This window comes from Homo sapiens, chromosome 12 (genome assembly GCF_000001405.40).
Source record: "Homo sapiens chromosome 12, GRCh38.p14 Primary Assembly".
NCBI lineage: Eukaryota > Metazoa > Chordata > Mammalia > Primates > Hominidae > Homo > Homo sapiens.
Window position 1 is genome coordinate 25,211,396 of NC_000012.12, and position 16,848 is coordinate 25,228,243.

General features: G+C 34.9%; 1 protein-coding gene and 1 long non-coding RNA gene across 6 annotated transcripts in view; one reads left to right on the top strand and one right to left on the bottom strand.

The window, feature by feature from the left end:
• The window catches only part of KRAS (KRAS proto-oncogene, GTPase), a 45,684-nt gene that overhangs the window by 6,150 nt on the left and 22,686 nt on the right, over positions 1–16,848 (bottom strand). For 2 of the 5 annotated variants that reach the window (NM_001369786.1, NM_033360.4), the window contains exons 3-5: positions 15,839–16,017; positions 14,219–14,378; positions 4,042–4,165 (exon numbers count right to left, since the gene is read on the bottom strand). In NM_001369786.1, the coding sequence (NP_001356715.1) occupies positions 4,046–4,165; positions 14,219–14,378; positions 15,839–16,017 (459 nt within the window). In that variant the 3' untranslated portion in view covers positions 4,042–4,045. Of the gene's footprint in view, positions 1–782; positions 784–4,041; positions 4,166–14,218; positions 14,379–15,838; positions 16,018–16,848 lie in introns of all 5 variants that reach the window. The other 3 variants (NM_001369787.1, NM_004985.5, XM_047428826.1) reach the window with 2 other exon arrangements.
• On the top strand, positions 4,156–8,479 carry LOC124902899 (uncharacterized). The gene is made up of 2 exons (XR_007063246.1): positions 4,156–4,665; positions 7,031–8,479. It is a non-coding gene; the product is annotated as an uncharacterized LOC124902899 (long non-coding RNA).

Sequence of the window (16,848 nt, forward strand, 5' to 3'; positions counted from 1 at the left end):
GAAACCCTGTCTCTACTAAAAATACAAAAATTAGCTGGGTGTGGTAGCAGGTGCCTGTAATCCCAGCTACTCAGGAGGCTGAGGCAGGAGAATTGCTGAACCCGGAGAGGCGAAGTGCATTGCAGTGAGCCGAGATAGCACCACTGCACTCCAGACTGGGTGACAGAGCATGACTCTGTCTCAAAGAAAAAAAAACAAAAAATGTTAAGTGGTATTTCTCCTTTACTGTACTACTAAGATTAACGATATTTCAAAATAAATCTGGAGCATGAACAATGAAAATTAGCTACAGTTCATGAATTTTCCTAATAGATCTATAATTCAAGAAAGCGTGACCAATATTTTAAGAGAGGTAAACATAGAATGGGAATAAGAGGCTAGTCCACATTAAGCAAACAGTAGGATAAAAACCAGCATTATTTATTTGAGCACTAGTGAAAGTCTCCAATAAAGTCCCCAAACTGCACTCACTGATGTTTCCCACTCTCTAATATCATTACTGATACTACACAAACATATGCTTTTGTTTCTCCCACAGGAGAAAGGAAAAGTGGTAAGAAATAATTTATCAGCAATACAATACCATCAAGGTTTGATTACATATATGTATGTGTATGTATCCCTTCAGGCTAAACTCTTTAACACATATAGAGGGGAAAATTTCCAATGATACAATAAAAATTATTCTGTAGCTTGCCAGCACTTGACAATTTACTTGACAGTTTAGAATCATAAACCCTTAGAATGTGATAGAATCTTAAAAGAGGATCTAACTCCCTTACCCTGAATGAATAAATTCCCTCTGATCACATCCTTATGTAATCTACTCCATTTCTACTACTTTTACAATGAAGAAAAATGCCAATGGTACTAAAATGGTAAAGCAGAAAACAATGAAAAACCATGTGATGGACACAGAGAAGACACATTTTATGGTGAAAACACAGAATTTGAAAACATTACTTCCTAAGATTCTGACAAAGATTCTAGGCTTATGTTGCAATGAACTCTCCTCTCTACATCATCTTGTTAAAATTAAGTAATTTTGGCCCAGTGCAGTGGCTCACACCTACAGTCACAGCAATTTGGGAGGCTGAGGCAGGAGAACTGCTTGAGGCCAGGAGTTTGAGACCAGCCTGGGCAACACAGCAAGAACCTGTCTCTATTTTAAAAATAAATAAGTAATAAAAAAAAATTAATTAATTTCAATCGTGAAGGAAATGTCACAACCTACACAGAGCAATGAATTCTTTTTTTCTCATATGAGAACTAATCATTCTCACACATACACATAACATTATCTTTTTCAGGACTAAGAAAAGCTAATTTATATATGTTTATCATTGTCAAATTTTTATTTATGTATTTATTTCCTAAAGGTGGGGTCTCATTACGTTGCCCAGTCTGGTCTTAAACTCCTGGCCTCAAGCAGTCCTCGCGCTGTGGACTCCTAAAGTTCTGGCATTATAAGTGTGAGCCACTGTCCCTGTGCCAAAATTTTTTTATTTTTACTTTTTTTAAGAGATGGAGTCTCTTTCTGTTGCCTAGGCTACAGTGCCATGGCACCATCATAGCTCCCTTCAACCTCAAACTCCTGGGGTCAGGCAATCCTCCTGCCTCAGGCTCCCAAGCAGCTGATACTACAGGCACACACACCACAGCCAGCTTGTCAAATAAATTTTTTTTTAAATTGTATTTAATTTTAAATTTTTAATTACCAAGTATACTTCTCTTTTATATGAATTACTTCCACGTGTACTGAAAAACAAGGATTCGTCACATCAAACAATTGTGACATTCACCTACAGTCACTGTATAAAACATAATTTGCACAAATTAGAAATTTTAGAATAGTACGTGCTTAAACCTTCATTTTAAATATAAATTAGAGCATAACACTTATTTTACTCTAAACAATTCTATTTTTAAAATCATCTAATGGTGAGACAATAGGAGGAGAAAATAAAAAATTAAAACCACCACCTAAATCTGGTCATGGTACTGTTATTTAAAATGTGTAACTTTTCAAACTGTATTGTTAAATTTGCAATATTTTAGAGGTTGTGGTAAAATTTAACATGCAAAATTGCTTTAATTGCAAAATATTGCTTTACAGAATGATATTCAAAAACATTCAGAGTTCATAAATTTCAACAAAAATTAATGCCAGTCATGCTTTGTTTCTGAGTTTAGTAGATTAGTACACCACGTAGTATCTTTTGGGATTGAGTCTACTATTCAAATGTATATTTTATACTTTTGGGAAATACCTAAAATTCATGTAATAAAGAACACCAACTTGTAATAAATATAATAAATGTAGTAGTTTTTGAAAACTGTAATTTTATTGCCTATTCTTAAGAACATGATATATTACAAACAATATGCATCCAAAGCTTAAGCTCTGCCATGAACTTTATGATACCTAGTGAAGTATTTTCTGAGCAAGACAGAGTTTAATACGGGTTTAGAAACGAAAATGAGAATTCCACGCAATAAATATTTACTGGGTAGTTACTATGTCCCAGGAACCTTACTAGGCAATGGGTGTGCAAAGATTAAAAATATGTAATTCTGGCTAAGATTTTGCTGTCAAGTAATATAGGAATGAAACAGAAGAGGTTAGTTATTTCAACATAACATGGGAAGCATATAATAGTTAAGAATAGTATTCTGGGAATACACAGGAAGGGCTCCATGCCTAGTCTAAGGGTTTAAAGAAAGGTTTTTAGAGAGTAGGAGACTGGGGAATCATGAGAGTGTTAGCTAATTAGTAAGACTAGGGATAAAAATACTGGCATTCCAAACAAGAGCCAAGACTCAAGGGAAGGTAGGAAATAACATGGTATTTATTTATAGAAGAACAAAAGAAATTCAGGCAAGATGACGTTTTTAGATATAAGACCAAAAAAGAGCTGGAGTGGTGGGAAGGTAGTAAGGACTATCTGCAACACATGTGGAACATGAGATTTTATTCTATAGCTAAAATGACTTTTTTTTTTTTTTTTTGAGACAGAGTTTCGCTCTTGTTGCTCAAGCTGGAGTGCAATGGTGCATTCTCAGCTCACTGCAACCTCTGCCTCCCAGGTTCAAGCAATTCTCCTGCCTCAGCCTCCCAAGTAGCTGGGATTACAGGCACGTGCCACCACGCCCGGCTAATTTTTTGTATTTTTAGTAGAAATAGGGTTTCACCATGTTAGCCAGGCTGGTCTTGAACTCCTGACCTCAGGTGATCACCCGCCTAGGCCTCCCAAAGTGCTGGGATTACAGGCGTGAGCCACCGCGCCCGGCCAAAAATGACATTTCTTTAAAGTGTATCTCTCCGGTTTCACAATGAATGATGGCAGCAACTGGTAAACCAAATAGGAGGTTCTAACAGTCCAACAAGAAATGATAGGGGCCTGAACTAATGATGACATAAAAGACACAGAATGTAACGTCACAGGAATTTGTGGATACTTCCAAACCAGGGGGAAAAGAGGGCGGTAGGAGTCATCCTAAAATTCCCAGGTTTCTCACTGGGATAAGAAAGTGCTGTGCTGCTGATGCCACTGAGATGGCGAACTTAGGCAGAAGTTATTATTTGCTTGTAAAATATCCAAAAGAAAAAATACATTTAAGAGTGGCTTTTTCCCACCTTCTGGGCCATTCAATATTACTGCTGTCTACTATAGCTCATATCTTTTTCTCCCTACTAAAAAAAAAAAAAAAAAAAAAAAAGCTGCTGATTATCTCAAAACTTTTCCCTTAAAAATAAAGGTAAATATCAGTTTCCAAATATTTAGTTTACTTAAGACTCATTAAATCATTAGACTTTATGCCAAATATAGATTAGTCTACTACAGCCATCAAAATTGTCTCAATTATAATTAATTCCCACTAGATTAAAAATAAATGTACTAATTATGGAAACAAGTTTCTTATCTTTTAATACTTCAAGTTAGAATACTACACCTAAGTAGTTCTAAAGTGGTTGCCACCTTGTTACCTTTAAAAGACATCTGCTTTCTGCCAAAATTAATGTGCTGAACTTAAACTTACCAGATTACATTATAATGCATTTTTTAATTTTCACACAGCCAGGAGTCTTTTCTTCTTTGCTGATTTTTTTCAATCTGTATTGTCGGATCTCTCTCACCAATGTATAAAAAGCATCCTCCACTCTCTGCATTGTAAAACACAACTTCTTTAAAGTCTGTTGCATTGGTAAGAGTAATTTACTGGGAAAGCCATGTGCAAGAAGTTTGAGATTATGAGCTTGAGATTTTTTTTTTTTTAAACAGACATCAGACTGTTTGAATAAAACTGAGGATGCAGTTTTAAAATATGGGCTAGAATCCTGGTTTGTTCTTAAAAGTCAGTTTTGTTTTCTAATGGAATTAAATTTTAAAATTTTTAAATTAGGAATTAGGAGAGATTATGACAAGCCTAAACACAGGTATTAGCATCTGTTTGTCAATTAATGCAACCATTTTAGTTTGCTAGTCCTGGAATTAAAGCCTAAACTGAAGTTAGCTTTAAATTACTTCTTTGACTTAGGAAAAAAGTGATTTATATACTATCGATTCCCACACCCTCCTCCAGGGGAGAATGAGAAGAAAAATGGTAAAATATGGACGTGAAACCTTTGTTAAAAAACAACAAAAACATAAAAGAATCTCAAAGGTGAGTCAAGAAACTGGAACCTTGAGTTTTATCTTAAATTTTAACACCTTTCAGTCTATTTCCAGGGTATACAAGTGAAGCTGAGACTGGGTCTTCTGTACATGTTTAATTACATTATTAAAATCTTAAATGAGAGCTGCTTACCATAATATAAAAACATCATGAATTAAAGGACACACACAAAATAGGAGCATTTTGTATCCTTACTACAAGTTCTTTTTTTATTTTTTTGTTTTAGAGACAGGGTCTCACTGGGTTGCCCAGGATGGAGTGCAATGGCACGATCATGACTGCAGCCTCGACCTCCCAGGCTAGGTGATCCCCCTGCCTCAGCCTCTCAAATAGCTGGGACTACAGGCAAGCACCACCACACCTGACTGATTTTTGTATTTTTCGTAGAGACAGGGTTTTGCCATGTTGCCCGGGCTGGTCTCAAACTCCTGAGCACAAGTGATCCGCCCACCTTGGCCTCCTAAGGGCTGGGATTACAGCCATGAGCCACCAAACCTGGCCTTACTACAAGTCTTAAAAATAATTTTTAGAACAGTGTTCAATCATACTGGCTGTGTGCCTTCCATTCTAATTTAAATACTCTTAATAGGGTTTTTCTTGCTTAAACATAAGAGAGCTATGACAACAGGTACAATCATATATTGGCCATATGGAGATAAAAGTTTTTAATATTTTCCAATCTAGAAAATTAGGCAGTCATCAAACGGGGCAAAGTGCTTAGTTAACTGTGCTGCTAGTTTGTTCAGAAAAGCATACCATCAAAGTAGGGGCACAGAGAAATACACAGAAATATTAATCTATATATAGTGCAAATTAAAAGATGTAATATTATGTTCATTCTTCTAACAGAAAGGTGAATATTTTTTAAAGCTGGTATATTTTACTCCACATTTAATTTTAAGGGAATTCTATTCTTTTATCTTAAAATTAAGAATAAATTACCTAATTTGGGGATTGGCATACATATTTTAGCTTTCTGAGATTGGTAACATCAATGTTTCTACTGAACCAAATGTAACAAAGTGGACCTAGCACCTAAAAAGTTAATGTATCACCAGTACCATTTGCAGTTTTAAATTCAATCACACACAGAGAATTGGCAACTAAGTATTAGTTGAAGTAAACCAATGGCTAGGGCTTAATTTTTGCATGCAGAAGTCATCTGTACATCTACTGCCTACAGTAGTTAAGAAAAACACACCTCAATTCTTTAGGGCACACTAATTTTTAGAAATCTCAGAATTATATTAAGAACTGCTTTAGTAAAGTACAGAAATTTACCTCTAAAGTCAAACTTTAATTTAAATTCATAATGTTAAGTTTCAGTTCAAAGGCAGGCATTTAAGTAACGTGATTATATGTTAAAATGCGTATCTCAAGTCATTAACATATACTATCCAGTGATATATTTATATTTAACGAATAACAAAAATCATTATATTCTAAGAGCAGTCTTATCTTATTTTTAATGGAATCAATTTAGTTAACTAGTTAGCTAAGCCAACTACAAACTTTCAACTACATTCGTTGGCACTTTAAGTTAGATACCCACTTACACCTGTATATAAAAGATTTTAAGTGTCAGGTGTGGTGACTAATGCCTGTAGTACCAGCACTTTGAGAGGGCAAGAGATGCCAGGAGTTTGAGACCTCATCTCTACTAAAAATAAGATAAATTAGGCATGTTGGCATGAGCCTGAAGTCCCAGCTACTCAAAAGGCTGAGGCAGGAGGGTTGCCTGGGCCCAGGAGTTTGAGGCTTCATTGAGCTATGACTGCACCACTGCACTTCAGTCTGGGCAACAGAGCAAGACCCTGTCTCTAAAAAAATTTTTTTAATCGTTTTAAAGTTTATATTTATCATTAATCCTCAGAAGGAAAGGGTTTATTATTTTTACCTTTGTCTTGAAAAAATTATGTATCCAAAATTTTCATTAATAAGCAACATAAATAATTTAAGGCACTAAAATAACTTTGTAGCATGTAAAATGTAAAGCATGAGCTCTGTTAAGATACTTTCACAAATGGTTCTCTTTCAATTTGAAAATCAATGTAAGAAATTTAAAAATATGTGTATATATATACGCACACACACAAACCAGGTAAAAGCTCATATTTTCATAAATTTTCTAAGAATGTAAACTTCTATTTCTGTTTAAAAAAAAAAAAGTTATAATGTCAATGTAGAAGTACCAAAACATACTATGAAGGAGAAAAACAGTATTGGTCCTCTACTAATTTAGCAGAAGCAAATTTTGATTTTAACTTATTTCTAAAATCAATATGAATGTGTCTACTTTTTCAGTGACAGCATCCCCACCACCAATAGTGAAATATATGATTTTTGTTTCCAGCAATGCAGAGAGAATTGGAAGCCAATAATTAAAAAGAAGAGATTATTATCCACCACCAAGAATTCAGTGTCAGGACCTCAGTGGCTCATATAATTAACAGCACAGGGTGACTTTTACCATTTCTTATTTTTAGTAATAAGAAACTTAGGTTTTAGAGTACCAGTTATTTACCACAGTTTTTCAGACTTAGTTATTTCTTGATAATATGCTTTAAAGTCATACTGACATCAAGAGAACATGAGAACATTATCCTTGTGTACACTGTAAACCACTGGCACTGGCTCTTATTTTTAAAATGCCTACAGTATATACCTATGAAACAAAACACTAGTTTTTCACATTCCAAAATCTGTAGATAATTTTTAAAGATAAAATATAGCTGAAACAGATATTTAATACCGACTGGCTACTCATTAAGCTCTTAACTAGCACACAATAATTTTTTTGAGAATAGGACTTGTTGCCACATATACTCATTTTGTGGGGGTTTTTTGTTTTTTTTTAACTTTTTCTTTTTTTGTTTTTTTTTTTTGAGATGGAGTCTCGCTCTGCCGCCCAGGCTGGACTGCAGTGGTGCAATCTCGGCTCACTGCAACCGCCACCTCCGGGTTCAAGCGATTCTCCTGCCTCAGCCTCCTGAGTAGCTGGGACTACAGGCATGCACCACCACACCCAGCTAATTTTTGTATTTTTAGTAGAGGGGGGTTTCACCATATTGCCCAGGCTGGTCTCAAACTCCTGACCTTGTGATCCGCCTGCCTCAGCCTCCCAAAGTGCTAGGATTATAGGCATGAGCCACCGTGCCTAGCCTACTTTTGTTTTTATACACATATACTCATTTTCAAATGTCACTTATTAAACTTTAAGAACAACTGAAAATACGTAGGAACAAAAGTATACAACTTTAAATATGTAAATTTTTTAAAATCAAGAGATTGACAACATTTTCAACTCAACTATTATCTGAAAACATACTTGTGAGGCTATGGAAACAAAGCACTCCATATAGAGAAAGTACTGTTAGCCAAAGTATCATTCTAAATCTTGCTAGACTATGCTTTTACTAAGAGATTTTGTTTTAAGTAAGTTTTTGTTCCTGTTAAATCTGCAAATTCTTGCAAAACTCTGTCAAGGAAGCAACACATCAAATACCCTAACTATATACAAATGCAAGACTACCAGCCTTTTGGTGGGGAAGGGCATGGAGGAACAAGATGTATTCTAAAACCCAACTGTGCATCCCTCACTTTCTCAAGAAACCTTGCCACCCACAGCCTATCTCATGTACTATTGAAATGCAGAAAAACCACTACTTGGGAGACTACCATGGTGCACAGCAAGTGCACAGTAACTGTTCCGTCAATTTTTAACTCATAAAAAGCTATAGTTCAAAATATTGATCTCATGTACACAAACTCAACTACTATTAAACAGAGACATAGCACATAAGGAGGTTGTTTTGCAAAGCATTCTTTAACGGGGTTCTTCTAACAATTAATTTAAATATCTAGAAATTAACAACAAAACCAGGAAATGAATCACTCAACATTTTTAGGTTCGTAAAACTAATTTTCACATTATATTTAAATTGAGACCCCCAGAGAGCAGAAAAGCCGAATGAGGAGTAACAGATACCCCGAAAACTCTGCTTCTGTTATTCACCTTACTGAACCCTCCCACTTTTGATTTTAGCAGACTGGAAAACACACAATTCTCATGGTGTCAATGTTTCAATTTTGACAGCTTTTGCCAACATGGCCATGCACTGTCCAAAGGGACCAGGAAAATCTGTCAACAACCCAGATAAATGTGAACTAGGTAACAGTCCTTATACACTAGGAACATAGGGACTACACAATGTACTAGCAGAAAATAATTCTATTTGCCTTTCAGATATGGACTGAACTGAGTGTAAAGAATATGTAACGCATTATATTCTAGCCAAGTAATTAGCTTTTTAAAATTATAAGTTATTAAGTTGGTAAAAATATATACCCTGCAATTCTTATCTTAAAAAGTACAGCTGGGCACAGTGGCTCACGCCTGTAATCCCAGCACTTTGGGAGGCCGAGACGGGCAGATCACGAGGTCAAGAGATTGAGACCATATTGGCCAACATGGTGAAACCCCGTCTCTACTAAAAATACAAAAATTAGCTGGGCGTGGTGGTGTGCACCCATAGTCCCAGCTACTCAGGAGGCTGAGGCAGGAAAATCGCTTGAATCCGGGAAGCGGAGGTTGCAGTGAGCCAGGATCGCGCCACTGCACTCCAGCCTGGCAACAGTGAGACCGTCTCAAAAAAAAAAAAAATACTAGAGACCAGGCACAGTGACTCACGTCTGTAATCCCAGCACACTGGGAGGCTCAGATGGGAGGATCACTTGATGCCAGGAGTTCAAGACCAGCCTGGCCAACATGGCGAAACCCTGTCTCTACTAAAAATACAAAAATCAGTCAGGTGTGGTGGTGCGTGCCTGTAGTCCCAGCTGCTCGGGAGGCTGAGGCACAAGAATTGCTTGAACCCAGGAGGAGGAGGTTGCAATCAGCCAAGATCCCACCACTGCACTCCAGCCTGGGTGACAGAGGGAGACTCTGCCTCAAAAAAAAAAAAAAAAAAAAAAAAGAGTACTAGGGTAAAATTTCTATTTCCTTTCCATGAACTATGTTAAGTTTTACTTTAAGATTATTAAAGTTAGCCTGTAAAATACAAAAGTTTAACCTAACTTCTAGTAGCTAATCAAACACTAAAGTTACCCAGAGAATTAGGAATCAGCATATTACAGCCAATGGACCAAATGCAGCCACAGCCTTTTTTTTTTTTTTTTGAGACAGAGTCTCGCTCGGTCGTCCAGGCTGGTGTGCACTGGCTTGATCTGGGCTCACTACAGCCTCTGCCTCTCAGGTTCAAGCAATTCTACTGCCTCAGCCCCTTGAGTAGCCAGGATAACAGGCACCCGCCACCACGCCTGGCTAAGTTTTGTATTTTTAGTAGAGACGGGGTTTCAACCACGTTGGCCAGGCTGGCCTCGAACTCCTGACCTCAGGTGGTGTGCCCACCTCGGCTTCCCACCTCATTTCTGGGATTACAGGCATGAGCCACAGCATGCGGCCAGCCTATTTTTATACTATGCACAAGCTAACAACGATTTTTGCATTTTAAAGGGTCATAATTAAAAAAAAATGCAACAGATACCACTTGTGGCCCTCAAAGCCTAAAACATTTACTATCTTGGCCCTTTACAGAAAATATTTGCCAGCCTCTGATTTACATGGATGAGAACTTCTAAATGAATGTTTTGTTCCTTTAACCGGAATATAATTCTTTTTGGGTGTTTACGTGTTTTAGGCTCATGATCAAGACCCCAAAAGTTAGGGCATAAAACAACTTGCCGATAAAATACAACAAGGATATGCACACTAATTTTGTTTAAAAAACAAATAAGGGCCAGGCGCGGTGGCTCATGCCTGTAATCCCAGCACTTTGGGAGGCCGAGGCAGGTGGATCACGAGGTCAAGAGATCGAGACCATCCTGGCTAACACAGTGAAACCCGTCTCTACTAAAAATACAAAAATTTAGCAAGGCATGGTGGCGGGTGCCTGTAGTCCCAGCTACTTGGGAGGCTGAGGCAGAAGAATGGTGTGAACCCGGGAGGCGGAGCCTGCAGTGAGCCAAGATCCCACCACTGTACTCCAGCCTGGGCGACAAAGCAAGACTCCGTCTCAAAAAAAAAAAACAAGAAAGAAAGAAAAATAAATAAATAAATAAATAAATAAATAAGCTGAATAACAGATGAGTAACAAAATACTCTGCAGAAAGGAGGACTTGACATTTTCACCAGTAACTGGAGATGTAAAATTTATTAAAATTCCCATATTTCATTTTATAATCTCTACAGTTACTCGGAATAGCTCTTTAAAGTCTTCCAGAAGCATGCAAATATCAAATTAATTTCAACGGAGGAAGATTAATAAGACTTTTGAAAGGCAAATTAATTTCTAGGCAAATCAACAAGTCCATTTAATAATAAAAGGAAATCAAAGAACAGAAATTAAATATCTAATTTATAGTTTAGCAACATAAATTACATAATAACATCAGTGAAACAGGATGTAAAAGAAAGGTTGAGTGCTCTGTTAAGAAGTACAAGTATTCTTTCATACTGTATCCCTCCATTTTTAATTAGATGATCCACATAAAAATGTCTACAAATCAAATTTGTTTATCTACTTACATATTATATACCTTCAAAAAAACAAATCAAACAAAAAAACCCAAGGCCACAAAACTGTATAAAACCTAAAAATCTCTTATAAAAGGAAGCCAGATAGTTTTCTGATCAAATATGAATGCTGTGTTATATTAAAGTATTAAGGTCAAATAGCAAGAATCAATTAGTACTTCTGAGGTAGTAATCATACAACCACCAAAAAGGAGACACAGCTATTTTAGGATATTATCAAATGAGAAGTGGACAGCAACAAAGTGGGACTAACAAGACTCTTTTTATGTCCTCTACTGCTTTTCTACTCAAAGTATGGTCCAAGTACCAAGAAAAATACCACCTAGGAGTTTGTTAGAAATGCAGACTCGGTCCCCACCTAAACCTTCTGAATTAGAATCTGGATTTTAATAAGCCCAGCTGATTTGTATGCATAAGAAAATATAAGAAGCACTTCTTTACTGCAACCCCTTAAAACATTATGCAAAGTCTCTTAAATTTTTTCTTTTCTTTGTGAAATGTAAGCTAAAATGTTCAGTGGTATAAAAAGCATCTTTTAAAAGTTGTAAGTAAAGCAAATATAAAACAACAATGGTAGAATCTAGGTAGTATATTTGCAAATGTTTTAAATAAAACTCAATTTTGTATTTGAAAATGTTTCATAAGAAAATGTTGGAAGAAAAAATAATAAATATTAGAATCATGTTTTCTCAGTACCTTCTCTCCTAAGAAAAGTCAAGGAGACTGTAAAGACAGTAAAAAGAAAAACAAAAACCAAGCCTCTTCCTGGTCTTTGGAACCTGGAAATGGATTTATGTGAAATCTTAATTCCTCTAAAGTAAAGTGATATATGATATACACCAAGTTTAACCTATAAATCAGGTTTTAGTAAAATTGCCAGATAAATCTGTACAATGGTCAAACTAGAGAAATTCAGTTTTTAATCCTCCCAAAATGACTTGAAGTAGAATTTACTGTTTCTTTACTATATATCAAATTTGTATAACTAGGAAGAGGTACATATGCTCTCCTACTAGGGAAATACAACATATATATTAGCTGGATAATGATTTACATTTACATTTTTGCACCTTTATGAAATTTGATAAACTTCTAGAACGCTTGTTTTTAAATGTTTAACAATGTAAAAGTTGTTCAGCAATTTTTTTTAACTCCTAGCATTACAGAAGTTAATTTCTACAAAACTGGTTTTCTGGGCTCACAGGTAAATGTAACCAGAAAAAGCCCTAAACAAATTGATGGAATATAGATGGATCAATTTCTTAGTACAGTCATGTACCACATAATGACATTTTGGTCCACAGGAGATTGCATATGTGATAGTGGTCCCATAAGATTATAATGGAGTTTAAAAGTTCCTATTGCTTAGTGATGTTATAGCCATCCTAACACTGTAGTACGACACATTGCTCACGTGTTTGTGGTGATGCTGGTGTAAACAAACCTACTGCACTGTCAGTTGTATAATGGTATAGCACCTATATTGTTATTTTATAGTGTACTCCTCCTATTTACTAAAAAAAAAAAAAAAAAAAAAAAAAAGTTAACTATAAACAGCCTTGGATAGGTCCTTCAGGAGGTATTCCAAAAGAAGGCAATGTTATTATAGGAGATGACAGCTCCACGTGTGTTACTGCCCCTGAAGATCTTCCAGTGGGACAAGATGTGGAAGTGGAAGACAATGATATTGATGGTCCTGACCCTGTGTAGGCCTAGGTTAATGTGCATGCATGTCTTAGTTTTTAACAAAAAAGTTTAATAAGTAAAAACAAACAAAAAATTTTAAATATGGAAAAAAGCTTACAGAATAAAGATATAAGGAAAGAAAAATTTGTATAGCTGTATAATGTGTGTTTTAAGCTGTATTACAAAAGTCAAAATGTTAGGAAAAATTAAAAAGTTTAAAAAGTTACAGTAAAGTAAGGTTAATTTATTATTGAACAGAAATTTAAAAAAATATATAAACTTAGGGTAGCCCAAGTGTAGGTTTAGACACACAAAACTTACCATTGTGTTAACAATTGCCTTATAGTCATTAGTACAGTTACATACTGTACAGGTTTGTATCCCTGGGGCAAGAGACTATACTACATATCCCAGGTGTATAGTAGGTTATACTACCAAGGTTTGTGTAAGTATATTCTATGATGTTTGCACAATGACAAAATCACCTAACAATGTATTTCTTAGAAAGTATCCCTGTCATTAAGAGACATATGACTACATATAACAATTAATTCCTTCCTATCTTTATGTATTCATTTCCTATATGTTAAACTCTTCATACAAACAGGTTAAATAATAGCAACTGAAATTATTTTATTTTACCTGAAGAAAAAGTCATTTTTAAAACAAAGATGATTTTTGAAACAAAATTCAGGTTCTCTCTGGCAATAATTTTTGTCAGAAAAATGCATTAAATGAGTAACAGAATTTCTGTTGGCTTTCTGGGTATTGTCTTTCTTTAATGAGACCTTTCTCCAGAAATAAACACATCCTCAAAAAAATTCTGCCAAAGTAAAATTCTTCAAATACAACAACGTTTAACCTAGAAACATGACATAATGGTTTAAAAGTACTACCGAAATAGAAAACGCAAAAATTTGTTGCCCTGTTCTTTATATATATATATATATATATATATATATATATATATATATATATATATGTAACCATGGGAAAAAAAAATCCCCACCTCTTGAATTCTAAATGTTAACATGTGCTCAGAATTGAAGAGAAATTTTCAATGTAGAAAGAAACCAAAGCCAAAAGCAGTACCATGGACACTGGATTAAGAAGCAATGCCCTCTCAAGAGACAAAAACATTTACTAAATATTGTTTTATTTCCTAGTATAGCATAATTGAGAGAAAAACTGATATATTAAATGACATAACAGTTATGATTTTGCAGAAAACAGATCTGTATTTATTTCAGTGTTACTTACCTGTCTTGTCTTTGCTGATGTTTCAATAAAAGGAATTCCATAACTTCTTGCTAAGTCCTGAGCCTGTTTTGTGTCTACTGTTCTAGAAGGCAAATCACATTTATTTCCTACTAGGACCATAGGTACATCTTCAGAGTCCTTAACTCTTTTAATTTGTTCTCTGGGAAAGAAAAAAAAGTTATAGCACAGTCATTAGTAACACAAATATCTTTCAAAACCTGTCCACAACTTTTGTCATAAAATTTGGCTGAAAGAAAACAATGTAATTCCTAGTTTCCACTACACCAAATTTTCCTTCCTTCTTCTACTAGTTATTTTGTTTCTTTACCTTTTTAAACAGAAACCTTGTATCTCTCTCAAAAGATCAAATACCTAGAAGTATAGTAAAACTATAACCTAATAGGTTAATATGCAGGTAGATCATAATAGTAAAACAGAAACTACTGAAAAATTCTAGACCCAAAGTGCTATATAACAGACTATAATTTTAGAAACGTATGTTAAATGTGTAAAGATAAAAAATATTTTACAAAAACCTGAATTAAAGCATTAACATAATTTTCATATTACTTTTTCAAAAAACAAAGTGGACAACTAGAAAGATTTTGATTTCTAGGTAGGCAACACTGAAGTTACTACACCACTTATTCCATTAAAAGCCCTTCTACATGTTAATCATTTTCAATATAACAAGTGCATAAACTCTAAATTTGGGGTGAAATTACATTCCCTCACAATTTTAGGTGACTTTCAAAGACACAGCACAAAAGAAGGAGCAGAGCAGACAACAGAGTCAGAATTGGCTCAAATTCCCGGTTCCGAACACCATTAGCTGGGTAAACTTGGATAATAGAGCTGAAATTTGGTAACTCCTCTATAAAAATACTACCACTACCACCCACCCAAATGTCTTTTCCTCTATTACTAGACTATACAGTAAACATGCTGTAACAATGTTCTTAAATAAAATGTTAAACTTCTTATAACTAGGCTAACTCGTTATTATATGACATAGCCACTGAGTGATTCATTTGCTTAATATGTAGTTTTTGGAAAACTAAACCCTCAAAGAAATAGAATATAAAATAGTATAATAATGATTATTTTAATAGTTTTATGCAGCTTTGTCAGATTTAAGAGAACTGTAATGCCCAAATTCTTCAATCTTTCAAAACTTTTATTTTTTAAAATATATAATGCCACTGTTTATCCAATCCAAGCAATTCTATGCTATACACACGATTGCTTTTAAGACTGTTAAAGTGACACCATCTCAAATCATCTTTTCATATTCTTTTTTATGGTTTTCTTTTTTAATGATGTATCTAAAAAGTTTAAAGTCTTGCTTTTGTAGAATAGTCAAGAGTACAGAAGGCTGTGGAGTCAAACAGGCCTAGGTTTCAATCCCAGCACCACCACTACCGATGCAGTCTGGAGCAAGTTACTCCACTGCTCTAATCCCCCAAGAACTTCATTTATAAAACAGGGATATTACCTACCTCATAAACATTATTTAAAAATTTTTATTAAATATTATATGCATGGCATTAGCAAAGACTCAAAAAATAAAAACTATAATTACTCCTTAATGTCAGCTTATTATATTCAATTTAAACCCACCTATAATGGTGAATATCTTCAAATGATTTAGTATTATTTATGGCAAATACACAAAGAAAGCCCTCCCCAGTCCTCATGTACTGGTCCCTCATTGCACTGTACTCCTCTTGACCTGCTGTGTCGAGAATATCCAAGAGACAGGTTTCTCCATCAATTACTACTTGCTTCCTGTAGGAATCCTGAGAAGGGAGAAACACAGTCTGGATTATTACAGTGCACCTTTTACTTCAAAAAAGGTGTTATATACAACTCAACAACAAAAAATTCAATTTAAAAATGGGCAAAGGACTTGAAAAGACATTGTTCCTGCTCCAAAGATGACGGACAAATGGCCACTAAGCACCTGAAAAGATGCTCAACATCATCAATAGTCAGGAAAATAAAATCAAAACCATGAGATGCTACCACATACCCATTAGGATTGGCTATTATTAAAAAAACAAAACAAAAAAACTCAAAAAATGGAAAATAAGTGTTAGCAAGGATACAGACACTGAAATCTTTGTGCATTGCTGGTGGGAATGTAAAATGGTGATGCCATTGTGGAAAACAGTGGTAGTTCCTCAAAAAGTTAAACACAGAATTACCATATGATCAGCAATTCCATTCCTAGGTATATAACCAAAATAACTAAAAACAGGGACTCAAACAGATACATGTACACCAATGTTCGCAGCAGCACTATTTATAATACCCAAAATGTGGAAATAACTTAAGTGTCTGTTAACAGATGAATGGATAAACAAAATGTAGTATATACATACAGTGGAACATTATTCAGCCATAAAAAGGAATAAAATTTCATATAGGTTGAGCATTAATGCAGGTTAATCCAAAAATCTGAAATCCAAAATGCTCCAAAACCTGTAACTTTTAGAGCCTGACATGATGCTAAAAGGAAATGCTCACTGGAGCATTTGATTTTGGATTTTTTTTTCTTTCATCTTTTTTTTTTTTTTTTTTTTTTTGGAGAGATAGGGTCTTGTGTTGCTCAGGCTGGTTGAACTCCT